Source organism: Homo sapiens, chromosome 9 (assembly GCF_000001405.40).
Source record: "Homo sapiens chromosome 9, GRCh38.p14 Primary Assembly".
Lineage (NCBI taxonomy): Eukaryota > Metazoa > Chordata > Mammalia > Primates > Hominidae > Homo > Homo sapiens.
This window is the reverse complement of record NC_000009.12, coordinates 28,707,159-28,734,695: the sequence shown is the minus strand read 5'-3', so window position 1 is coordinate 28,734,695 and position 27,537 is coordinate 28,707,159. Positions and strand designations below refer to the sequence as shown.

Below are 27,537 nucleotides of genomic sequence, written 5' to 3'. Positions count from 1 at the left end.
TGAAGGAGCATTTAGTATTAATTTACTTCATCATTTGTAAATTGTATTCCAAAACAAACAAGTCTACATTTTAAAAAGGCATCTGTATGCTTTATATTTATATTTGAGCTGCGAATCTACCATTTAGCAGCTGTATGACCTTGGGAAAGTGACTTACGTAACACTCTGTGCTTCATTTCTCCCCTCTGAAAAAGGGAGATAACAATACAGTAGTCCCCTACTTACCTACAGTTTCACCTTCTGCAATTTCAGTTTCCTGCCGTCAACTGAGGTCCAAAAAATGTTGAAAGGAATGTTCCAGGAATAAGTAATTTATAAATTGTAAATTGTGCACCATTCTGAGTAGTGTGATGAAATCTTGCACCATCCTACTTTGTCCCGCCTGGGATGTGAGTCCTCTCTTTGTCCAGCATATCCATGCTGTCTATACTGCTCACTAATCACTCGTTAGTCACTTAGCCTTCTGGGATATCAGCTTGACTGTCGTGGTATCACAGTGCTTGTGTTCACATAACCCTGATTTTATTTAATAATATTTTACTAATAACTTAATTATTAGTTACTGGTATTATTTACTGTGTCTAATTTGTACATTAAATTTATTATAGGTATATATATATAGAGAGAGAGAAAAAAATCATAGTGTCTATAGGGTTTGGTACTATCCATGGTTTCAGGCATCCTGGGAATCTTGGACCATATCTGTCATAGATAATGGGGGACTATTATTTTTATTTCTTAAACTTGCTGTGAAGTTAAATACAGATAACAGATGTAAAGTTTCTGCTACTTAGTGATAGTACTTAGGGCAAAATCGCCACTCCGTAAAGGTTGTTGCATTTTTTTTTTCTTGGCCAATGAAGAATAGATATGTGAATGGATTTTTGAAGGGCAGATGGTGAAATACAGGTGTGTTCACCTCATTACAGCAAAAGCCATCTAGGAGAAGTCAGTATAACTGGTAAATCTGACTCTTTGGAAGGCACAGAGGTTAACTTGAGTAATGATAGATATCACAGAAGTGATAGAGAAAAAGGTGGACTGGTTAACGCAACCCTAGTGACACTCACAATTTTAAAGGAAGGAAAGAGGAATCATGCTTTCAAGGTGACCTATCATAAGTGTGTTAGGTGAGACAGGGTAGAGCAGATGGACAAGCACACTAGCGTTTATCTCGAACCTGAAAATTACAGAAGGATGACTAGGGACTGGAGAAGAAACACTCACCAGATGTCCATAAGTTCACTTAATGTCACCATCAATTTTCCACAATATTTTTTGATGTAGGATTTTACAGTATATGATAAAACCTTCCTTCAGCTAAAATATATATCAAAAACCAGTGCAATACTATCTTTTTAAACCCAAATATGGCTTGTATCTCTTTACGTATGACCTTTTTCTCCCAGATAAACAAAGACATAAGGAAAAAATAATGCTGGGAATAGTCAATTGATTTCTTAAACCTTTTTTTTTACCCCCCTCCAGACACCAAGTTTTGCAACGGATAAGCAATGGAAATAATACTTTCAGATTTCTAAGGCTGAAGTTAAACCTGTGTAGGTACTATGTGTATACCACAAATATCATCCTGTTTTAAGCAATATACTCTTAAGTATACTATTAACAGGTTTTTAAAGTATTTCTTATCTGGAAGTAAACTTGTAATAATTATGGAGTATACAGATGGATGAGAGCTATGTGCTCATGGGTCTGGTAAGCCTTCATTTGAGGAACATACACAGGGTTGTTGGCCCTTGCTGGGCTCCAGAACTGGCCTCTCCAAAATAGCATCAGGCCAGGATTTCTTGCATCCGGCCAGGATTTCTTGCATCAGGCCAGGATTTCTTCAGAAAGTGGAATGTGTAGATTGTTTTATTTCATAGCATGAGAAGATTAATGGCTAATTGATATTTATAGAGGAGTGGAATCAATTATATCGAGAACAACAGCAAAAATGGTTACAATGCACTGGGCATTGCACATTAAACAAAAAAGTCTGTATCCAGCTATGTCTCCTCAGCTATTTAATACATGCATTGAATTTTGATTTTTAATTATATTTATTTCATTTATCTATGTTCTTTTGTTTCTTTTTCAAATTTAATTTTTCTTCCACTTATGGTTTATGTTCTCCTTCTTTAAAGAAAAAATGTAAGCTTATTCAGTTTATCATCAATTTTATCGTATTCTATTTTCTACCATATTCAAGGGGTAAAAATACTCCTATTTATTGTTGTCTTTTGAGTGCTCCCACATTGTGGATTGTTTACTTGTGTGGTTTTAAGTTTTTTATTGTGGTTACTTTTCAGAGTGTTGGATTTTTTTTTTCATTTTTTTTTGGAATAATGTGAACCCCTGTTGTATGATATTTATAAAAGGATTTTGCATCTGGGTTGGCAAAAGTCTAAAAATTTTAGTTTGCTTGGTTTGCTTGGAGATTCCAGGGCTTCGATGAGCGTTTAAATAGGGTCTGCAGATCAGTGAGGGCTGAGGTATTAAGTTTTGATTTTTTCTGGGAGACTTTTTTTCACCACTTAAAACCCTGACCAGAAACAGGCATTTTGGCTACTTCCTTGGCTCCCTGAAAATAGTTGTTCTAGCTCCTCCTTATCAAGGGTAAATCCTTCTAGAATCCCGGAAGGTTCAGTTGAGGATGAAATATAATTATTTTCTTTATAGTATTTTGTTCAATTTTAGAATCATGGTTATACTACCATTAACAATAAATTGGCATCCTCCACATCTTTCTCTAAGTTCTAGAATGATCTGTATATTTATCTCTTTATCACTGTAGAATCATATACAATTATAAGAAATAGTATAGAGATGTCATGTACCCTTTTCCCAGCATCCCCCAAGAGTATCATCTTGCAAAATTATGGTACAGTATCACAGGATATTTTCATTTATATTATTCACCAATATTTTCCAGATTTTCCCAGCTATATTCATACTTCTGTGTGTATATATGTGTATCTTTAATTCTACACAATTTTATCACCTGTGCAGGTTTCTATATCTGCCATCATAGTCAACAAACAGAACAGCAGCTATCCCCAGGTATTCCTTAATGTCCCAAGTAGCCCGTGTCCCTCAAATGTTCCCAAGTATCCCTTGAGTTGTTCTTTTAAACCGCACTCACCAACTCTCTTCATTCCTAAACCCCTGGCAGCAATTAAGCTGTTCTCCACTTCTAAAATGTTATTATTTCGAAAGTATTATATAAATGGAACTATAAAATATATAACTTTTTGGCTTTTAACACTCAGCATAATCTCCTGGAGATTCAACCAAGTTATTGTGCATATCAATAGTTACTTCCATTTTATTGCTGAGTAGTATTCCATGGTGTGAATGTACCACAGATTGTTTAACCATTAACCCACTGAAAAATACCTGGGCTAGGCTGGGCGCAGTGGCTCACTCCTGTAATCCCAACACCTTGGGAGGCCGAGGCGGGTGGATCGCCTGAGGTTGGGAGTTCAAGACCAGCCTGACTAACATGGAGAAATCTCGCCTCTACTAAAAATACAAAATTAGCCGGGTGTGGTGGTGCATGCCTGGAATCCCAGCTACTCAGAGGCTGAGGCAGGAGAATCGCTTCAATCCGGGAGGCAGAGGTTGTGGTGAGCCGAAATCGTGCCATTGCCCTCCAGCCTGGGCAATAAGAGTGAAACTCTGTTTCAAAAAAAAAAAAATTCTCAGGAGTACAGTTTCTGGACTTTATACTATTTGCATGTTTTATTTTAAAAGAAACTGGCAAACTGCTTTCCAGAGCTGTTGTACCATTTTACATTCCCAACAGCAATGTGTGAGCAATCTAGTTTCTCTAAATTCACTCCAGTATTTGGTGTTCCTACTATTCTGATAGGTTTTTCAGAATAGAAAACTATTCTGATAGGTTTGTAGTGATATCTCATTGTGCTTTTAGCTTGAGTTTCCCTAATGTGTAATGACACTGAACATCTTTTCATATTCTTATTGCCATATGTATAAAACTTCTTTTTATACAGTATGTACAACTGTCATAGTGAACCTCTATGTCTGTTCATGTATTTTGCCCATTTTCTAATTGACTCATTTATGTTTTTGAGTTTTGAAGAGTTCTCTAGCTATTCTAAAAACTAGTCCTTTATTGGATATGTGCTTTGCAAACATTTCTCCCATTCTGTAGCTTTGCTTCTCATCCTTTTAGATGGACTTTTGCTGAACAAACATTCCACAAACATTTAGTTAACAGTTTTAAATTTTGATCAGGACAGATTTATTTGTTTTTTCCATTGTAGATCATCCTTTTGATGTTAAGCCTAACTCTTTGCCCAACTCTCGTCCCAGAGAGCAGTGAGGATTTTATCAATGACAGCCCTAAACAGATAAGTCTCATGATCACATTCCTGCATCTGGATTGCTTGCTGTTTTGTGTCTGTACACGCCTCTTATCCTAGTCTCTCTTTTCCTAGTCATCCTTGGGATTTTCTTATCTCACTTATGCTGGATCACTGGCTATTCCCTTTATTGCCCTGTTTCTTGATTTATACTAATATGTTTCCTGTGAAAGAGTAGATGGCAGATACATTTTTGAGAATATGTCTGAAAATCTCTTTTTTTCTTATCTTCACATTTAATTGTTAGAAATCCAAGTTAAAATTATTTTTATTTTAGATTTTGTATCTCTACATCTACTGTTGCTATTGAGAAATCCAATTCCATTTTGATTTCTGATTTTTGTATGTGACCCTGTTTCCCTTCATTATGGATATTTATGGAATATTATTCTATATAAATGCTCTAAAATTTCACAAAAGTATACTTTTGTGAGAGTTTATTTTCATGCTTTTTGGACCCCTAGTCATCTCTTTGAATTTGGCAATTAATATAATTGATTTTTTTGAATTGTGTGAACTCTTTTATTCTATTTATTCTTTCTTTTTGGAATTTCTTTAGGAATATTGAGTATAATGGAGAGTAGGATTTTAATATTTTTTTTCCTCCTGATTTCCTTCTGTTTATCTTCTTTTCTCCTGCTTTTTCAGGGATTTCTTCAGCTTTATCTTTGAGACTCTGTTTTTTTTAAGTTTTCATTTAGGATATTGTGATTTTTAACATACAAAGAGCACTTTTTGTTACTTGTTCTTGGAATGTTTCTTGACATTTGATGAATGATTCATGGATCTTATCTCTGCCAATATTTAATGATGTATTTTGTTTGTTTGTTTGTTGTGAAAACTTCCTCTCCCTCTTTTTAAGTTTTAGTTCCCCTGAGATTTTTTTCCTCTGTTTCTGTTCTGGTTTCTATCTTTCATGTAAGAAAATTTTCTCAGATGTATGGAATATCTTAATTTTATGTTCATGATTAACTTACAAAAACTTAGGTTCTGAGTACATGTATAAACCTTGTTAACTTTGAGCTGCACTGTTGAATGAATTATTTGTTAGTTGGAAGAGCTATAAAATCATTTTTTTCTGGTCTTTCTTCTTGGGCTGCTGATAATTCTTTAAGAAGTTTATTTCAATATCCAGCATGATACTAGTCTGCTTGCCATGTTTCAGGATGGCAGGTGTCAGAAGAGGGCAAGAGAGATCAAGATTCAACTCTGAATATTCAAAGAGATACTTAATTCCTCTCTCAATATTCCACACTATTCCTGCCAGTCCCCCAGTCTAGAGAACATCTCCAGAGAACAAACTTTAAAGAATAACTTATTTTGGAAGGAAGTATATTTTTCTAATGTGTTGGAGTTGGAAGATGTTGAGAGATCTGCCTTCTTCTCACGCCATCCTCCCTGGGTTATAGCACCTTCTTAGGTTTCTCAGCGTCCAGGTCCAGACGTTCTTGGCACTGTTGATTGCTGAGTCTTTGGAATGATTTATATTATATATTTGAATATTTTTCTGTAAGGATATTTACCATTCAACAATTCTTCTTTGAGTTCCCAACATTTTCCCTTTGTTTGCTCTCTTTTTGCCCCATTCCTTATGAGGTTTATATTTTTAAAAATATCTTTAATGTCATTCAGTGATGTTTCTGGGTGGTGGGTTTAGGGGAGAGCGATATTAGCAGTATGTTTTTTTCCGTCCATTATAAGTAAGAGGCAGAGCTGACAGTTCAGTCCGAAATAATTTTTGACAACTTTTACAGTTTATTTTATGGATATGCTTTTATTTTTTTGCATCTCCTTACCTCAATTTTGATAGCTTACATTTCTCTAGAGAACATTCTTTTTATATGATTTATTCATTTACTTCTTATCTGTGGTTTTATTCCTTTCCTTTTCTTTTTTTTCATTTGCAATTTTCTCATTTTCTTGATTTTTTTGTGAATAATAATTTAACTTTTGATTGCTCTTCTAAAAATTTAAATTTTGGATTTATTTACCTTTTAAAAATAATTTACCAGTTTGTATTTCCATATCATCTTCTGTCTTTCTCTAGGGCACAGTGAAGGGGAGGGGGTTGTGGTTTTCTTCTTCCTTCTTTCCTGTGCCAGAGGCAGTTTCTTTCCCAGGTGAAATAGGTTGCAAAAAGTGAGAGTAGAGGTAAGGTAGAGAAAAGGTTTCCTGAACTACACTTCTTTAAAACTGGACCTCAATCCCAGTTCTCTGTTATAAGTGAGATGCTGTCCTTCTGACCACTTTTAATTTCCATCTTAGTAGTACCTCAGCAGTTTCCTTGGTTCTTAGTAGTTTACCTCTTTACTGATCCTCTCTGTTGAGATCCCATGGCCCTTCTATGGTACCCTATTGAGCATAATCTCGTTGAGAGAACTTCAAGACAGCATTCTTTATCTCTGCCTCTGTATCTGTCTGCCTCTTACTCTGCACCTACCACCTCACCCTGCCAAACCAATCTCTCTCTATCTATGTTTCTCCTTCTCTCTTGGTCCACATCTGGTCCACGGGAAACCCATGCTTCTAATGTTTAATTAGTGAAGGAGCAGATTTCTTCCAAACTACAGCCTTCCCACTCTATGTTTCAAAACATTTCATCCCACCTTTCTTTGTGACCCTTTAGATTCCACAGCCAGAGTCAGTACCCAGTTGACTGTTTTATCTATCTAAAGACGGATGAAAGACCAGTGGTGACAAAAGTATTTTTTAGCTAATTTGGCCGGGCGTGGTGGCTCACGCCTGTAATCCCAGCACTTTGAGAGGCTGAAGCAGGCAGATCATGAGATCAGGAGATTGAGACCATCCTGGCTAACACGTTGAAACCCCGTCTTTACTAAAAAAATACAAAAAAATTAGCCAGACGTGGTGGCGGGCACCCATAGTCCCAGCTACTCGGGAGGCTGAGGCAGGAGAATGGCTTGAACCTGGGAGGCGGAGCTTGCAGTGAGCTGAGATCGCACCACTGCATTCCAGCCTGGGAGACAGAGTGAGATTCTGTTTCAGAAAAAAAAAAAAGAAGGATTTTTAAGCTAACTCTTCACAAGTTCCCCATAGACAGGTACTTTAACGCTATTCCCAGCTGCCTATTCTTTGGAATAGTTTGGGGCCTCTGTCAAAACTAAGGTTAAGAGTCTAATTTTAATATATTTTAACAGTTTATAGTTTTAGAATTAAGTGTATTTTATATCTATGTTAGTGTGTGTGTGATTTAAAAACATTCTTATATTTGCATGCATTAGTCAGGGGTCTAGCAGGAAACAGAGTTCCAACCAAATGGTTCAACTCTGGAAGAAACTGGGATGTCAAAATGCTCACTCTCCTCTCCTCCTCAATCTCCCATCAATATATTTAGTGGCTAAAAGCCACCCAGAAAACCGAAAATAGGGGAGCCCAGATCCAATGGTGGTCAAAGTAAGTTGGAGAAAAGGGTATACATCAGCGTGGGTAGTAGGTGGAGAGGTACCAAATGGAATATAACAAATATATGACTTTCCTATTGTTCCAACATTTAACAAATTTAGATGTATATCATCATGGTCAGAAAATGTAAATTACACTACATCTATTGTCTTTTGACTCTTTTGAAATATGTTCAAGAAAGGCTAGAATACCAGCCTTACTTATTTTTTTATATTGTTCTTTGTAGCAAGCTGTCTGCTTATTTGCTATAGACCTGTTAGTGCTGTTTTTTATAAAAATCACCTAAGGTTTCAATCTGCAAATTTAAAGATTGTTCCAGATTATCTATACTACACCTTGCCATTTACAGGCAATATTCAGTAGTCTGTTGCCATTAGTTAATAAATGTTATTTAATTTTATTTTTTTCTTCATATTTATATACACAGTTTACCTGCTTAAATCCAAGGAGCTCTCTGCTGAGGTTTCATTATTAAATTTAGATTTATCCCATTGTGGTCAGAAAATGTGAATTACACTCTGTCTACTTGTTGCAACTTATTATTTTCCTTGTAGCCCCACTTCAGCAGGTGATCTTCCTCTTGATTATATTAACACTAACATTAACACTTTCATGTTCCCATTTTCCACTCATGTTCATAAAGAAATAAGGACGAAATAATGAGATATTCAAATTGACTCACACATAGAGCTCTTAAAAAGCAAATAAATGAAAAAGGAACACTGTTATAACACACCATTTGACTGATAAGCAGTACCACATTATGAGGGCTCAAAATGATTGCTTATTGTCTAATATAGTCAATATTTAGCTTAGAAAATGCTAGTGTCACATGTAACATATGAAACTAGAATGAAATAAAGTTGTGTATTCTTGTATATAAATATTTTGGCACATGTTTTATTATTTGATATATTACATTGGATTTAACCTTTCCAAAACAACAAACAAAAATCCAACTCTTTAACCCTTTCAGTGCTTATAACCTTGGTTTTGACATCAATGAAATAGCTCATATACATGCACACACACATACACGCACATTTTGTATTTCTTTAGCATTAATTTAGGATTTTTTTCAATGTTAATTTTTAAGTTTCCTTTATTTTAATGTGTGTTTTTAATTTTGTTATTTGTTTGAAACTAAAGAGCTTTTTTCTTTTCATAGGTGACTTTATTTACATTTATTGTTTTAACAGACATATTTGCTGTTCCTTTATATCTTCTTTTGTTTCTTTTCCTTATCTTTGCAAACCAGTGGTTATTATTTTCATGTCTTGATGTTGTCACAGGCCATTTTCTTTTTTTTTTTTTCTTTTTATTCCATGGATTGAGATTTTGTTTATCTTTGAGATAACCTATCATCTTTGAGGATTATTCCCCCTGTTGTATATTGATAGTTCTCTTTTATTCGTGAATAAGAACGGTGATACGTTGTTCATTCATTGCCTTTATATTGTGTTGAATACCTTCAATCCTATCTGTGTTTAATCATTTTGCATTCCTCCCTGGTTTTCAGCATAGTTTACTCAATGTCCACTGATTTTTTTTCAATATTAATTACATATTTTATTTCTAATATTTAAATTAGGATTGCTTGTTTTCTTATTAACTCTAATAAGCCCTTTTTATCTCTATTTATCTTTCTGTATCTGTTTGAAATAGAAAAATACGCATACATATAGGTAATACGTGTGATAAATTTTTTTGATTGAGTTCATATTGGCCTTTATTTCCTTGAGCAAGTAAAATAGTTGCTGTATAAAAAGTTTGCCTCATGGAATAGATCATCATTAAAAAATACGCTCTGAATTTTTTTTCAGGTGTAGATTTATTTTCTTCTTGTATTTTTATTTCAGATTTTTGTCTTCTTTTTTTCTGTTTATCTTCAAATGATGATAGGTGCATTCAAGCTGTTTTTTGACCAAAATACTGTAAGGTGAATTGTCTTTGGAACCCATTTCTATTTATCTACAAAACCTTTGAATTCTTACATTGATCTAATGTTTCTTTCTTGTAGTATTTGAGCTCTGAAAGATTTGTGACTCTTCAAAGGTTATATTTCTGGATTTGGATGACCCCCAAACTTATGAACCAATTGCTCTTTTAAAAATTTGGGTTAGAGGAAGGCACAACAACATGCATACTTTCTCTTTGTGGGCTTTTCCCTCCCAAACATCTTTCATCCTTAATTTTCCCAACCCACATCAGCTGTTTGCTGATATTGATCTGAGGTGGATACAGTTATTCTGAGTTGACTAGCTCCTATCTCTTTCATGTTCCCTTTCCTATTTAGGTAGGTTATCATCCGTGATGGAGTTATCTGAAAGCTCCATCCAGAAGGTCAGTCTTGGTTTACCCCAAGGGAATGAGAGGTCTATGGCAAGTGCATTAGCTGTACAGTTCAGAGGTTTGTCTTGCAATTATAACTTCAAGTTGGGTAAATGCAACTTTTTAATGCAGGTTGCTGAATGAGTGACCTATGGAGAGCTTCTCTGGGACAGGAACTAAATCTAATTGATCAATATTTCCCTTGGGCAATAAAAGTAATTCATCTGAGTCTTCCCCTTCCTTATCCGCAAAAGCAGGTACAACATAGTGTGTCTCATGGGGGTGTAAACAGGACTAATTATTTGCCAAACATGTTACTCAATGGTTGGCCCATAATAAGAACTCAAGAAACAGTGGTTTATATTATTATGCAGTCTAACTCCTTCATTTTACAAATGGAAAGTTGAGGCCCAGTGTCACTGAGCTAGAACTAGATCTAATCTCTGACTCTGAGGTCAGTGCTTACTTAAAGGGGTGAAGTTAGCCTTAATTTATCTTCTTTATATGGTATGTTTGTATTATTGTGTACATATTTACATATATGCCCATAATAAACACAGAAGAAGCAAATAGAGTATATGCATTGTCACTGGGAAAAAAAAGAATAGCTCATCTTGTTAATTTTTTTTTCTTTTTGCATCTGAAACTTTCTTTTAAGCTAATTCTTTTGTCTTATTTAATAACCTCTTCAAGAACAATGTAGCCCCAAAGTCAGTTTTTTTAGGAGGATTCTTTTCTTTTTATGACCAATTGCAACATACCTATTTCCATACTTTATGTTTCCTATGAAAAAATGCAAACATCTTAAGAGTGGCTGATCTCTAGGATATGAGGTATAGAGGTGTTCTGTGAGGAAAGAGGACTGCACTTTCTATCTAATCCACTGAACCAACAGGGCTACTTTGATAATAGGAGTGATGTCTAGAATACTGTAGGAGAAACTAGCACTGACGAGTTCACCAATTCCATTCTTATATTGGCCCAGCTTCTGTCACTCTTTTGTAATCCATAACAAAGAGCATGTCATTTACCAAGAGAAGGTACCCCACTAAGGGATAGGTTGGGCCTTTCAAGGAATATAGAATTTTCCTGGGATATCTTGAAGCAGTAGTTTCTAATATGTATAGCCACATTGTACAACAAAGCTGGTATCATCTGATAATTTTAATTAATAGATTTTTTAGAAGACAATTCATAGAATCAGAATCTCTTAAAGGTGGAGCTTAATATATAGAATATTGAAAATAGCTGTGCCAAATAATGCTATAAAGAATTACAATTCAGTATGCAGCACTTATACCAGCAACAGCAACGTCACCTGAGAGCATATTAGAAGTGATGGATCTCAGGTCCTACCTAACATTTACTGAGTCAGAATCTTCATGTTAACAAGCTCTCTGGGTCATTGGTATGCACATTAAAGTTTGAAAAGCATTGATCTTGATCTGATACAATGTTTAATAAACCTGTGTGTACATAAACCACCTGGATAGCTTTCAAAAAGAATCATGCTCAAGTTTGCCACCAGAGACTCTGGGGTAATTGTTTCAGGTGGGGTCCAGCCAGCCCTAAAAGCTCCTCAGCAGATACTCAGCTATGGTGAACCACAGGCAGCATCATGTGATAAGCAGCCAGTGGATATCAGAGCTCACTGCTGTTTGTTTCAACCCAAAGCCATTTCAGAATTGCCTTTGACTCTATAGCAGAGAATAGGTTGAACGACTTATCACAAGGCTGGCAAACAGCAAAGTCCTATTGGGCCCCGTACTACTGGGATTATTTTTTGGCTAGAGGAGAAGATAGCATCCAACAGCAAAGGTTGTCGCATATTCCCAGTGCCCTCCTGAGGGTTGATATCAGTGACCTTCAAAAGACAGAGAAATAAATATTCCATTTTTAGCATTCCTGTTTCAGAATCTGTTTTAATTCCATGATTCAACTTTGATGTGCCTGATATGTCATTTATTCCTTCAGTAATGACACTGTCAGATAGGCCTTTCCTTCCTCTCCAGGACTATCTTAAGTCACTTAGTAAAAAGAAATGCCACTGACTGAACTTTTTAGACTGCTTTGCTCTTCAAATTCACATTGGGTATGGTTATGAGAAGAGCAATACAACTTTGACGTTTGTTAGGAAACAGTATAAAATGAACTTTTCCATAATTATACAGATTTAGTCCCAGAAATATATAGTTGAAAGTCCTTCTCAGGTCAAACAAAAGATTTCAAAATGTATAGCCCAAAAAACCTGTTTTCAGTATCCCAAAGGAAGGGATACTTTTTCTTCCATGAGTATCTGTAGCAATTATTTCTTGTACACTTTGTTTGACTATAAATAGTGGAACAACTTGCAATATTTCCTTTAGGCAATTTTCAAGTTTTATTTTACTTTTTACATGTTTATGTCATTTCTTGAAATAGATCATAATCTCAATTAAGGCAGAAAATGTATCTTGTATTTATTGGTACCCTCCTATTATGCAGAATTTCATTTATTAACATATCAGAATGTAAAATTTAACATGTTTGGGCTGTTTGGTTTTTATTATTTCCCCTCATGAAGATTTTCCCATTTTTCATACGTATATAATACAATGTTCTTTGAAAGGCATTAGTTATGTATATTGAAATGTTCCATAGGTAATGAACAAATTTTGGCTATTTTAACAAGAGCCCAAAGCTAGACTTTGGTGAAAAAAATTGTATCTCCATGTTTTTAATTTTTTTTTTTTATTTTACTTTAAGTTCTAGGATACATGTGCTGAACGTGCAGGTTTGTTACATAGGTATACATGTCCCATGGTACTGCACCTATCAACTGGTTGTCTAGGTTTTAAGCCCCACATGCATTGGGTATTTGTCCTAATTCACTCCCTCTCCATTCTCCCCATCCCCCAACAGACCCCAGTGTGTGATGTTCTCCTCCCTGTTTCCATGTGTTCTCATTGTTCAACTTCCACTTATGAGTGAGAACATGCAGTGTTTGGTTTTCTGTTCCTGTGTTAGTTTTCTGAGAATGATGGTTTCCAGCTTCATCCATGTTCCTGCAAAGGACATGAACTCATCCTTTTTTATGGCTGCATAGTATTCCATGGTGTATATGTGCCACATTTTCTTTATCCAGTCTATCATTGATGGGCATTTGGGTTGGTTCCAAGTCTTTGCTATTGTTGATAGTGCTGCAATAAACATATGTGTGCATGTGTCTTTATAACAGTACAATTTATAATCCTTTGGGTATATACCCAGTAATGGGATTGCTGGGTCAAATGATATTTCTGGTTCTAGATCCTTGAGGAATTGCCACACTGTCTTCCACAATGGCTGAACTAATTTACACTCCTACCAACAGTGTAAAAGCATTGCTTTTCTCCACAGCCTCACCAGCATCTATTGAGTTAATGATCGCCATTCTAACTGGCATGAGAAGATATCTCATTGTGGTTTTGATTTGCATTTCTCTAATATCCAGTGATGATGAGCTTTTTTTATATATGTTTGTTGGCCACATAAATGTCTTCTTTTGATAAGTGTCTCTTCATCCATCTTAACAGGAAATAGTCTATCTTGTGAGCATTCAGATGTGAGTTGAGGACAATGGACAGCCCTCCTCCTGAGAGACAACACTCCAGTGATTCACTATTTAGAGTGATGTGTCACTCTGAATACCTCTAAGCCACATTCTTCATAAAATGAAGACAGATTATATTGCAAAAACCTGTGCTTATTATTTTATTTTGCATGAAAAGCAATACAAGACAAGGTACACTGCGTTATATTGAAGGGACCACACATATTCCTCTTCCTCCAATCTTCTAACATTGAAGCCAATATATTTGGAATGATACAAATATATATCAATTTATTCTTTAAGAGTTAGGTTGCTGTGGAATATATTTAGCATCAATTAGGTCAAATAATATTCTTACTTCCTTTTTTCCCTTGAATTCTAACTATGGCACTGAATATATTTAGTGTTAAAAAACATCTCCTCATCAGTGACAGAAATTTTTTACACATATGAATTCCGTGTGGGAGAACTGGGGGAAAGAGACATGGTAGAGATATCTAAATATGAATTTTAATCAAGGAATTCAGATTGGTGGCACAGTCCAGTAAACAGATGATTGTAATACAGTGTTGTGCAAAGGAGGTTAGAAAAGCTTTACAGAAAGGGCCTTTGGCATGAACCTTGAAAGGAAGAGAAGAGCAAACTAAGCAAATTATGCACAAACAGTTCAGAAACATCTCTGAATGTCTGCATGTACCAGAACATTAGACATTTTTGTGGCTAAAACGTAGAGTGAATCTATGGCAAAGCTTGAAAAGGACTATATAAAAAAATGAAGTGCTTGGATACATGAAACAAGACTTTATATATGTCAAATTAAGTGTGGACTTAATTGTGCAGTGATTGGTTTGGCATTAGTAGTACTTTAGTAGGGGGATGACACAATGCAATTTGTATTTTTGAAGAAAATAACTTCAGCTACAATGTGAAAGATGATTTGGAATGGGAAAAACCAACTCAAATTAGATGCTTCGGTAGTTCAGAGAAGATATTATATGTTCTGATGATGTTGAAACACTAAGATTTGTTACTGATGAGGTTTGGAAAGAAAAGGAAGTAGAAAAATTTAAAAATTAATTTGAGTTCATGCAATTTACATAATTAAGCAAGTTAGTTGGACTGGAGAAAGAGATAAATGAGAGGAAATGGCAGTTCATTTTATAACAAGTTGAGTTTAAAATGCTGATTTCTAATATTTAATAAGCAATAAAAGCTATGGACCTGCATCTTAGAGGAGTAATCTTTATTAGATGTAGAAATTGGATTTTACATGCAGATTTCAGAGCAGAGCAGATTTTTCAGGAAGTGTATAATGAGAAGAAGAATGAATTTTCAATAAGAGGAAAGCATAAAAAGGGGGAAAACATAAAAAGAGAAGGAAAACAAAGTCAGTAAGATAGGGTCAAATGAGAAGTAGGTTAGGAGTGTCTGAACAAAGAGGGACTGGCCAAATGCCTTATAGAAGTCAAATAGGATGAGGATTGATGATGCCCACCAGACTTTTTGTACACTGATGAGTTTGGGAGGAGCTGCTGCAGTGCTGCAATAGATTACAGGGAGACAATGTGAATTAGTGTGAGGAGTGAATGGGAAGAAAGTGGTTTCTGCTGGTAACAAATGTTCAAAGCAGTCAGCACAGGAAAGATAAAACAATTAGTTCCTTCAGGGAAGGAGGTTAATTTAGAGAAGATGTAGGGAGTGTTCAACATGTTCGTTGTGGAAGAGAAAGAGCTAAGAGAGAGGAGCTTAAAGACACAAACGGGTAGAATCAAGGAGTGTGCTCTCAAATGAGAGGAACAGGAGTGACATTAACCTTGAAATGCTCGGAGACTCTACTCCTTCATGACAGTAGGAGGATAATTAACAATAGATACAAATGCAGGTAAGTTGAAAAGTGGGAAGGATGAGAGTTTGGGAGTTTCCATCCGATGGTTTCAAGTTGTTTGCTGTGAAGAAGGCAGGTTTGCTAAAGGTGGGAGTTGCAGAGTCTGAGTAGAAGCACTGAGAAGAGTGATGATGGCTTGTAACAGCTGTTTCAGAGAAAGTAAATGGATACTGAACAGTGTTACAGACCTAGAAGAAGGGGGCAGATCATAGATTTATAATACAAATTAACAGACTACTATTTAATTTTTTCAGGATGACCAGAAAGTTCAGGAGGGGAAGTACAGAAAAAACCAAGTGTTTGGGCTCATTTGTTCACACATTGTCAGCAAAGCTAGAGCAAAGAATAAAGGAAAAATGAGTTAAGTATGCCAGTAAGTGTCACCAAGATAGCCGAGTAGTTGAGATTTTAAAAGAAATAAAAAATTGGTAGGCTTTTAGCCTAGGAACAAATGGAGTTTCTGAGAAAAGTAAGACTCTTTAGTGGAAAATACTGGATGAGAGAATTTTAAGAGGTTTTAGTCAGAGCAGGGATTTCAGAGAGATAAAGCTATGTTGTGATGAAGGGGAGAAGGAAAGAAATCAAGCAATTATGAAGTAAGTAATCAGGCCATGATAGGCCCAAGGGTATAATTTCGAAATTGTCTGGTATGATAGCAATGTTTGGTTGAAGAGAAAGATAAAAGCAAGAGGTTGTGTAGTTTATGTATTATACATATATTTCATGATTAGAGGGCTGCCAGGAGACTCAAGCTATTTCTTCCATTGTCCTAGGGCAGTGAGGTATCCAGCTTTGAGCTGGCCCATCAAGTATCTGAACTCTGTTCACAAACTGAGAAAATACTGGGCATATTATTCAGGCTATTTATCATCTTAACTGGTATTAAACCTAAAGTCTCACATGGTTTGTTTTTTTTTTTCCTTTATACTTAAGCCATATAAGCATCTTCTTAACTTTCATCTCCCCCATGAAGCTTTTCTTAATGTTCTTTGTTGAAATTAATCTTTTAAATTTTTTCTGTCCCTGCCATCTCTGTTATAACATTGCCTATATTCTTCCTGTATTCTGTTGATTTATAAGGAATCTATGTTGCTTGGGGACACTGCCTTATTTCATTAACTGTATCGCTGGCTTCTTGTCTTTCAAATCTGGATATTCAGTAAATGCTCTGTGAATTTAAGTTGTCATTATCCCCTCATTCTGAATTAGGTAATAGGATATATTGACTATCATAGTAAGGTCTGAGAGTTACTGAGGTGTAGGTTTGTGTGACAGTAGTTGGGAACGAGTGGTCCAGCACCTGAAAAATTTCCCACTAGATCTGAGAAGCGAGGAGTCATATAAAAACACTGAGGACTGGGTAACTGGACTAGTAAGAAGAGACAGGAGGGATGAATGTTGAAAATATTTGCCTACTTTATAATTTTGAGTGGGGAAAAACACTCTGTCTACCATTAGTTTCTATATGTGTCTATGAATTCATTGGCATTGTTTAGAGAGAAGAAATTATGACTCTGTGTACATTTGCTCTTGAGTGTGTGGGAGAGAAAAGAGAGGGAAATCTCCTTAGAGTTTTAGTCTTTATTGTTTACTGTTGATTGCTTTCCAAAATCTCATGTTTATTGTAATTTTCCATCCCTATCTCCACTTACCTCACCCCTACCAAATTTCAGCTATTGATTGTAAGCCTGTCCCTAGACCTTAATAACATTTATTTTTTAAAAATCCCCCCTTCATCTTTTTTTTTTTTTTTTTAGATTAGGGTCTCTTTAATCAAGTTGTGGCCATGGGAAATAAATCTTGTAACTTTCCCCTAGTTTGAGCTCAGTTAAGTGCCATGGCCTCTTTAAGCAGCTGATGGGCACACTCCTCCAATATGAATGACTCCTTTGACACTGGACAATAGGGTTAAAGCAGCCATTAGTCTGCAGTTTTCTGAGAGCCTCTGCCTAGAATGTAATTTCTTGGATACCTCTGTGAACTTGACAGAGCCTTCACCTACTTGGGGGTCATATATTAACAAATCAGGAAAAAAAAATTGCTGTCTCATAGTTACCCTTTGGTTGTTTTTACAGCTTATATTAAATTTTCAATATTATTGTCTATAATTGTATAGCAGATTTTATACTAAAATGTATATTTGCACTATGATACCCCATTGATAGAAACCGTATATTTTAAAACTCATCAGGAATTTCCAGACATAGTCTCTAGGTAAATGGAAATGGTTAATTTATGATAGCTGGCTTAAAATTATACACTAAGTTTAATAGCATATATCTGTACCATTACTTTAATATAGTTTGATAGCAAACACTTAGAGATTTAAAAATTTTGGGTTGCTATATCATCTTGAAAATGATTATTAAATGAATTGTCTAGCTACCTATCTATCTTTCTGTCTTATCTACCAGAAAAATGACTGTATTTGGCAAAGATAAATGGAACACAATTTCTGGCCTCAAAGAACAGAATATTTAGAACTAAATCAAGGTGTACAGAATACACTGCACAATCTGTTTTTCTTTGCTCTTGCTTTAAAGGAAACTATATTTGTGACAAATACGTGATCCTATACTGGCTTCTTTTTAACGCAGGTCTTAGGGCTCATGCAACCAAATATACACCTGAATTATGTCATTGTGTCAGGGTAGACCTCTTATAACATTACTTTCCCTGTCCCCTTGTCATAAGATTTACTTAGTCTGAATATTTTGGACCCTTTCCTATCTAGGTTTCCTTAATGCCATTCTTTCTTTCACATACTCCATCCCTCTTTCTGCTTAAAATCCCTACCTCTGTTTTTCTAATTTTTCTCTTTGTAAAAAATTAAAAAAAGAAAATAACTTGGAAAGTGGTTCTAATTTTAATCTTACATGTGGAAGGAGCCATCGCATTGCTGAGAAGATTTTATTGTTTATGTTGTTTTTTTTTTTAATGCTGAAAAAGTTTTGAAGGCATTTTAAGTGTACAGAAACAGGAGAATGGTATATCCATTTGAGATGGAAGTATTATTTCGAGCTCCCAGACTCATAATGTGGACAGGAGTATTGCATGTAATTTATCTTGTACGATGCCTGTATAAAGGTATCACAACACATTTTATTGTCACTATTATTTTTGTTTCTAGACCCCCAACTACCAAATTCAAATTCAACTTGGCCCACACATTTAATAATGTATTGGAAAAGCCCTCTGGATTTACCTAATTTTCTTCCACTGACACAAGTCCAATATAGGCAGGCATCATTTGTGTAGATTAAAGCCACAGGTACCTTTAGTTCTTTTCTTTCTTTCTTCTAAGTTATTCTTCAACTCCTGCCAAACAAATCTTCTGAAAGATTCCTTTTCAGAAAAGTGGCTTGTCTATGTAAGGTAAGTGTTAATAATCATAGTAGATATTTTAAATTAACAGTGGCATAGCTTCTTATAATACAGTTAAAATGTATGCAATGAGGAAACCAGAACGATGACCTTCTGGTTTTACTAAACCTATTTATTTGCTTTAGCAACCCCACCCACCTCTTCTTCCTGACCTCTCAGCTCACATACAAATAACTTATTCATCCTTCCACTGGACCCTTCCACTTCTCTAATTCCGTTATCTAATGTTAGGGGACTGTACATTATAAGTGTACATTGCAGAATAAATTAATCTTAGATACATTACCCAGAAAAACAGTGGATATATTTCAGCACTTTTGTGATAATATACATGCTCATTCTCATTTACATTTTTCAGGAAGGAATAATGGTTTATTTTCTAAGAATCTGTGATATGGATTTTTAATTCCAGCATGAAATAGATAAAGGTATTGCATTTTACAGTCTACACAGAAACAGGAATTTAATGTGTGTGAACAGTCTGCTCATTTACTAGAATAATATATCCTAAATGGCTTCAATATGTTCATAGACAGTGAACACTGAAAGCAGTAATTGGAAAAATCCATCACCAGTCCAAATGTTTCTGCAGTCTTGGGTTGGAGTCTGGTGATCTTCCTAAATTTTTTGTTTAGTCAGGTTACAGTATGCTAGAATTATTGACTACGACTCACATTCTAAGAAGTGTAACCTATAAAAATACAAAAGATACAGATGGACTCATAGTTTAGTTAAACTAAACAAAATTATTAGAATTCACTAAATTCACTCTTTTGTAAATATCACATTGTTCATCTAAAAACTGCTTCTGGATGAGTAACATTACAGAACTTTCATGGTAGAAATTTGAATTTCTACCTACATAATAACTAAACATAACATAAAGTAGAATGCATATGTAATAATTATGAAACATTTAAGTAACTATAATAAACAATTATTTTATTTTAGAGTGAATCAACATTTTTATTCCAGTGACTCAAACTTATCAAAACCATTAACATCATGGAAAATTAATTATACTATCTAGATAACGCTAGCTGTTGTAATAGAGAAGAGCCCAAAATTCATGGCTTGACACAAAGGATTTTATCTTGCTCATTAAAACACCAAAATGACTGCCGTTAATAGTAAAGGGCTTATGTTCCATTCAGCATTGCATAGAACTGGGCTGAAAAGGCTCTGCCATCTTCAACACGTGACAATCAGCATTGCAGTAGGGCTCATGAGAATATTGTGACTCTCAGGCTATCTACGAGACACTGTGAAAACACTGCATATTACAGAGCAACTGGCAGATTTAGTGCAAAATCTCTGGCTTCAACCTGGATCTGAAAAGTGCTTGGCAAGCATTTTGAGCCTTGATGGTGATTGGGATCCTGCTGGTATTTTTGCTACCATTGGCATGAAATGTATAAAGTGCATGGAAGTGTTGAGATGTTGAGATGTAGAAGATGTTAATGACTGTAGTGGAGAGAGATATATATATATGTATATGTGCGTATGTGTGTGTGTGTATGTGTGTATATATATATATATATATATATATTATTTGAGGCATAGTTTCACTCTTGTCACCCAGGCTGTAGTGCAGTGGCAGAATCTCAGCTCACTGCAACCTCCACCTCCCAGGTTCAAGCGATTCTCCTGCCTCAGCCTCCCGAGTACCTGGGATTGCAGGCATGCATCACCAGGCCCGGCTAAATTTTTCTATTTTTAGTAGAGACAGAGTTTTGCCATGTTGGGCAGGCTGGGCTCAAACTCCTGACCTCAGGTGATCCACCTGCCTCGGCCTCCCAAAGTGCTGGGATTACAGGCGTGAGCCACCATGCCCAGCCCCAGTGGAGATATATTTTTATTGTATTTTAGTTGTCACAGCATAGTAAGACAGTAGAATTATTCAAGGATTCTATGTATTAATGATCCCCAGTCAATGCCAGATATGAATTTTGTTAAGCTTTCTTTATTGTGGTAGCCACTGCTTCTTACTGTCTTCCAAGAGAGATGTTCTCTGCTGTTCCTGACCACACCCCTCCACACACAAAACTGCTTACTCAAATCCTGTGTCCAAAATCAGTACCTTCTAATGGAAAATACACATGTAAACACAGAAGAACACAGCAAAAAGCCCTGTTAGAAATGCTAGAAAATAGACACAGAAATACCAATTGGACAACCAGAAGGAAAGAGCATGGAGCATTTTATGATCCAAGTTTTCAAGAGGTGCTTATCATTTTTGCTCACGTTCTTTTGGCTAGCATAGTCATATGATCATAACTAACTGCAAGAGAAGCTGGGAAACGGAGGGCAAATTGTGTGACCAAGAAGAAGAGACAGTCAGCTTCATGACTAGTTAGAGTCTCTCTCATACAAGCCATCAAGAGAAAGTCAATAGTGGCAAATTCATATTTATCAGTTTTAGTTATTATATTTGTATGACCGTTTGTATATGTGTACAGAAATGTCATCATTGAGGCTTTCATAAGCAAATAAATAAAATATATTGAAGCCTAAAAAAATAAGTATTGAAGCGGTAAGATTAGGAATTGAGGCCGGGCACAGTGGCTTACACCTGTAATCGCAGCACTTTAGGAGGCCGAGGCGGGTTGATCACGAGGTCAGGAGTTCAAGACCAGCCTGACCAGCATGGTGAAACCCTGTTTCTACTAAAAATACAAAAATCAGCCGGGCGTGGTGACAAGCACTTGTAATCCCAGCTACTCAGGAGGCTGAGGCAGGAGAATCACTTGAATCTGGGAGGCGGAGTTTGCAGTGAGCGGAGATCAGGCCATTGCACTCCAGCCTGGGTGACAGAGCAAGACTTCATAAAAAAATAAATGAATAAATGAAAATTTAAAAAAAATTAGGAATTGAGTTGTAATACACTTTCTTTTTAAATTCTATGTTTCTTAATCATATTTAAGCAAAACACATGCAACAAAAATGTTTGCTACATATTTGAAATAGTTAGATTTTGCTTTCTTCTAGAATCTTTTATTGTAGTTAATCATGAATAAAAATTTGGAGTTAATGGTAACATCTAGTATTATATGCCAGTCTCTATTCTACATGCTGTATATGTCTAGTTTATTTAATCCTTATTGTAGTCATACAAAGTAGGTACTGTTTATTATGTCCATTTTACAAATGGGGTAAAGGAACCTCAAATAATTTAAGTAATTTTTCTGTAAAATGGTAGAGCTGAGTTTCAATCATAGGCATTCTAGATTCAGAGCTTGAGCTACTTAATCAGTCTGAGAAGAAAAGATATAATCCAAAGAACCCTAGGCTTGGGCTCCCTAAGATGCTTTGTAAAACTATGTTCTTTTTAATAAAGTTTTTATATATAAGAGATGGTGAAACTTCAGCATATGCTGTTTATATTTACACACATACATTTTCAAGTTCATTTTGATCATTCAAGTGGGTGCAATGCTGAATTTAATATAAAACCCTTAAAGGGTCAAAAACGTTTATTTCTCACTTAATATTCTATAGCGATATAAATGTGTCACTACTGAATTACCGGGTACATTTTACAATCCTTCATCATTTCTGTCTCTACTATCTCCTACCGGCATTATTCTTTACTTTATTAGCTTTTACATATTTACATTTTATTCTGTCAAATGTAGAGTATTTCTTAAATCTTTTTTATATAATTGCTGGACTTGCTGGACTTACTGGATACTATACTGCTGTAATCCAATGAAAAGGCTGTCTTCATTGTTCCTAGCATCTCTTTTCCAACAGAGAAGATAACCAAGTCCCCAGCCTAGAGCCATTGTAAGTATAGCTTGTCTTTAATAGACTCATTGCCTTATTCCTATACGGATATAGTATTTGTGAGTTGTTTAATGGAGTAAGTTTTTGTGAGTTCTTATCTGGGCAAGGCACTGTACTAAATGTGTTTGATTAATTGGCTCATTTAATTATCAAAAAAGCTGTATATATTGGGGCTGTTTTTATTTCTAGATGAGGAAATTAAGTATTACAATACTTAAATAACAGAATCAGGTAGTTAGTGAAGGAGTGTGACTCCAGAAGCAACCCTTAACTGCTCTACTAACTCACTCTTCTGACCCACACTTGAATTATGTGTTGTCCCAAGGTTAATGCATCTTTTTATATTAATTTCTCTAGGATGCATAGTTAAATACATATCAGTTCTTTTTGAAAACCTTGCTCACCTTGCTGTTCAGGGAGTGTGGTGGGGCTTAGGTGGTTAAGAGAATAATGATAGGGATCATGAGAGGGAATACTGAGTACTTGCCATGTGCTAGCCTCTGGGCTAAACACTTTATTTAAAATATGACATATAAATCTTCACAGTTCTTGAGTGGTGTTATCACTATTTTACAGATGAGGAAACTGAATTTTGAGGAGAATTAATAACTTCTATTTGATCACTAAGCTGTTAAGTGCAAGGCTATGATAGAAACGTAGGGTTAGCCCTAAAATATAGATTATTGCAATTAAACTAAGAATCTTCCTTAGCATTAAGCACATAAAAATATATTTTTAATCTAAAATACCTAATTTTCTTATCACTTAATAAATACATTAAGCACTTAATAAATACATTTTTTTACCTAAAATACCTAATTTTATTATCACTGAAGCTCAAGGTAGTAGGGAATATTAACACAGAGATGAGGTACAATTAAAAATTACTAATAATAAATGCTGGGGCCAGTATCAAAACCCAGATCTGTCTGTCTGCAGAGCCTACATCATCCCCAAACCATATTTCCTTGAGGCCCTCTACCCAGAATCACCATTACCATATTCACTCATCTATTTGTTACATGTCAATTACATACCCACTCTGTTTTTCTTTAACACTGTTCTGTGTTTTATTCACAGTATTGAGTAAAATAGTTTATTTCCCTTGGAAGATATTTTTTTAAATCTAATGGGGGAAGCATATATTATTCAACTCATGTAAATATGTAATTGGAGGGTTAATCAAGGACTGATCTAGTTTGAAATGGGGTGATTCCTGGAAGCTATTCCTAGGACAGTGGCATTTTAGCTAAGATGTGAAAGGTGTATAGTTCAAAGATAACCAGTGAAATTTAGAAAGAGACTGTTCCAGTCATCCCAAGTAGATTTTTCTATTAACCCCTGAACAAGTATTTGCACAAACCTTTCCATTGGCTGATGAGGGTCTATTTTACAGTGGCATTTTTTGAAAAAAAATCTCGTGGTTTAGTCACGTAAATATCTCTAGCTAAATAGGCATCTAATAGTTATGTGCATGACATTTTTTATTCAGAGTCCACTTATCCAACAACCTCAATTATAAGATGTCAGTCCATTTGGGTCGCTATAACAAAATACCATAAACTTGCTAGCTTATAAACAACTGAAATTAATTTCCCACAGTTATGGTGGCTGGGAAGTTCAAGATCAAGACACTGGTAGATTTGGCATCTGGTAAGGGTTCATTTCCTGACTCACAGATGTTACCTTCTTGCTGTGTCCTCACATAATGCAAGGTTCAAGGCAACTCTTTGGGGCCTCTGTTATGAGCATACTAATTTCACTCATGAGGGTCTAGCACTTGACCCAATCAGCTCCCAATGGCCCCACCTCTTAATATCATAATGTTGGTATTGAGGTTTCAACATACAAATCTGGGGGAGACACAAACATTCAAACCATGGCATCCGAGATGTATATTTCAGTTTGGATAAAAGTTAGTAGAATTTGTATTATTCACAAAAAGGTTGATTATACTAAAAGCATAAAATATAGCCTCTGGAATTTAAAAAATATTTCCATATATGTGAACCATTAAATCATAGGTGCAATAGCCCTTCATAAATCAAGAGACATTGGCATATTAATCTCTAGTTAAATAATTGACATTTATTAAATAGCCCTGAATTATCAATCATATTGAGAATCATGCTGAGTATATTTGTGTAAGTAGCTAGATAACTACAAATTAAATATATTATTAGTATACATATATAATTTTAATTAGTACTTTAAAATAGATGTTTTGTTTATGTGCAGAATTCACTCATATACTATATTTAGATAAATGAAGTATTATTCTTTGTGCAAGCATTTCTGTTTGTATTTGTGACATGTACTAATACTTCCTGACATTAAAAATTATATATGATTCATAATTACTCAATGTGTTATTGCATTTGATTTGAAGTAAAATTTTGAAAATTTATTTAAGGAAAGCTTGGAACACGGCCTTAGATATATTAGATTTTCCCCCCAAATACATCCAAAGTAAACATACAAAAGAAAATTTATCTTTCTAAAATTCAAAAAACAACAAACCATTCTTACTCAAAACACTATTCATTTAACATTGGATTGGATAATAATCAAACTGGATTTCTCAACTTTGCATAAAAGAAGTCAGCACCTGAAAACACACTAAACTAAAACCAATTAGCAATTAGGAATGTCCAGTCAGGCATCCTTTAACTGACATAGTATGAGAGTTAAAAAACAAAACAAAACACTTTATTAGAAATAATAGAGATAGGGCATGTTAGTAGAAACTTGTTAAATCTTACCCTTATAGTCACTATTACCTGAAGGAGGGTGATGTTCTCAGGAATAAAAAGAACAGGAACAAGGTATTTTTCAGGTTTCTGCAGAACATCCATCAGACTATCTGTGTTAGAACCCTTGAGGACATAAGATTAAAAGACATGTGGGAGAGGAAAAATGGTTAAAATGTGTGTTTTGCTTAATTAATTGTAGCATGATAGTCATTATTATCAATTTGACAAAGATACATTGTTTGTTGGTTGCATCTGAACAAGAAAACATAAATAATCTATTATAGATCAGGTCTAGGGTCATTACCTTGATTTAAACTCAGCATGGACAGATGTAGATGATAGATAGATGATGGATAGATGATAGATAGACAGACAATAATAGATGGATAGATAGATAGATAGATAGATAGATAATTAGTTTAAAACAGACAGCAGGCTTCTGCTTGCTGTGACTCTGAAATCTGATCTGGAGGGTGGCTGAGGCAAAGGAAGCTACACGAAGAAGCACCGTGTACATAGGTGGTTGGAAAGACTGGCTTTCTCGGCTGAGTTCCCTCATTGTTTCACACTGAACTGTTCATCCTGTTCTTACTATGAATACTGTTCCACTGGAAGAGGGTTAACCAAGTTCTCCCCCCAGACAAAGATAAGCATTTTATTATTCATAGTACAGTCAACTGATCAGCCTTGAAACTGCTTATACAGTTTCAGGTATACAGAGAAAGAGAGCAGCTAAGGCAGACAGATAAAAATGGTCACAGTGATGAGGCATCTGCAAGAGTCAACCTCATGATGCAAAACTAATCAGATGGGGAACAAAGGAGCTCTCCTTGGGGATCCCTGAATTATACATGATACATACCTAACAGGTGTGCTTATGTTTATTTTCTGAATATTCATATTTTAGCTGAATTCTGTGCTTTTCAGGGCATTAAAGAATATATCTTTTCATATTTCTAGATATTAATGCCTGCGAAACATGCCTTCTAATTATATGCTGCCTTGATACTTGTTATGGAATTTGGTTATTCTTATTGTCACATAACATCACTTCTGCCAATCTTTATTTCATTCAAAGTTCCATTTAGTAGACTTAGAATTGTGAATTTTGTTTACTTGAAATAGAGGAAGTTAAAAAAATACACTGAGAACATTTTATTAGGTCTTTATTCCCACCTTCTTATTTCCATTTATTCTATTCTACTTAACAGTGAATGAGTTCAGTGTAATTTCACTTGCAGTTTTTCTGACTGAGGCATATTCTGACAGGATCCTGTTTTTTGAATGTGTGTTTTAATTGGGCTTCCATGTGGTGATAGATGCAGGACTCCCTGCGAGTCCCTTTCTGGCTTCTATAATTCTCAGCACAGATGGTTTTTATTACACTACTTCTTCCTCCCACCCTTCACCACCCCGACAATAAATACTGATACAGCCCCCTAAGGTATTCATTCATGTCTTAGGCCTCCAAACAGACCAGACAGCATCTCATGATTGGGGAGAGTGACAGTGGGAGGACAGGATCATTACAAGACAGTTGAGCAGACCTAGCCACCACCCTTGGGAGTTTGAAACAGATAGTGTGAGACAAAAATGAATCAGTTTTCACTGTAGCTGAATTTCAATTCTAGTGCTCCTTGAGGTTTATTTCAGGTTTTGTTTTGTTTTGAATTCCCCAGTGCAGCGAATGAGATGGAAAAGAATATATAAATTAACTTCGAAAGACTCTCAGGGATATATGCATTTCAGGAGGATGGATGGAGAAAATGGAAGAAGCTTTGGACTGTCAGGGGAATTCATTTATCTAATGGTCAATGGGGAAACATTTACCCTGAGAAAAGTTGTGAGACCTGACTTTAGGTACTTTGCATCCTACATGCTGTGTCTCTCTTTATTCCCAGCCATATGTATGATTCTATTAGGGCCCTCCTAGTTTAATTGTCTGGAAGATGTAATGATTTCATGAGACACCTCAATATTTTATTGATTCAACAATTATTTATTTATCACTCTTTC

At 35.3% G+C, this 27,537-nt stretch overlaps 1 protein-coding gene across 13 annotated transcripts in view, besides 1 other annotated feature; it reads left to right on the top strand.

The window, feature by feature from the left end:
- The window catches only part of LINGO2 (leucine rich repeat and Ig domain containing 2), a 1,275,985-nt gene that overhangs the window by 478,906 nt on the left and 769,542 nt on the right, over positions 1–27,537 (top strand). The window contains exon 1 of one of the 13 annotated variants that reach the window (NM_152570.4): positions 15,391–15,595. The exons of the other annotated variants lie outside the window; for them this stretch is intronic. The gene's annotated coding sequence lies outside the window, so the exon portion shown is untranslated. Of the gene's footprint in view, positions 1–15,390; positions 15,596–27,537 lie in introns of those variants that run through there. 13 annotated transcript variants of the gene reach the window in all.
- Positions 25,192–25,361: an enhancer, noted in NCBI's record as "experimental_107568 CRE fragment used in MPRA reporter constructs". NCBI's record gives its function as "activates a minimal promoter by MPRAs in K562 erythroleukemia cells, with activity observed for the non-introgressed 9:28709418 variant allele {active_cell/tissue: K562}" and the evidence as "EXISTENCE:reporter gene assay evidence [ECO:0000049][PMID:34662402]".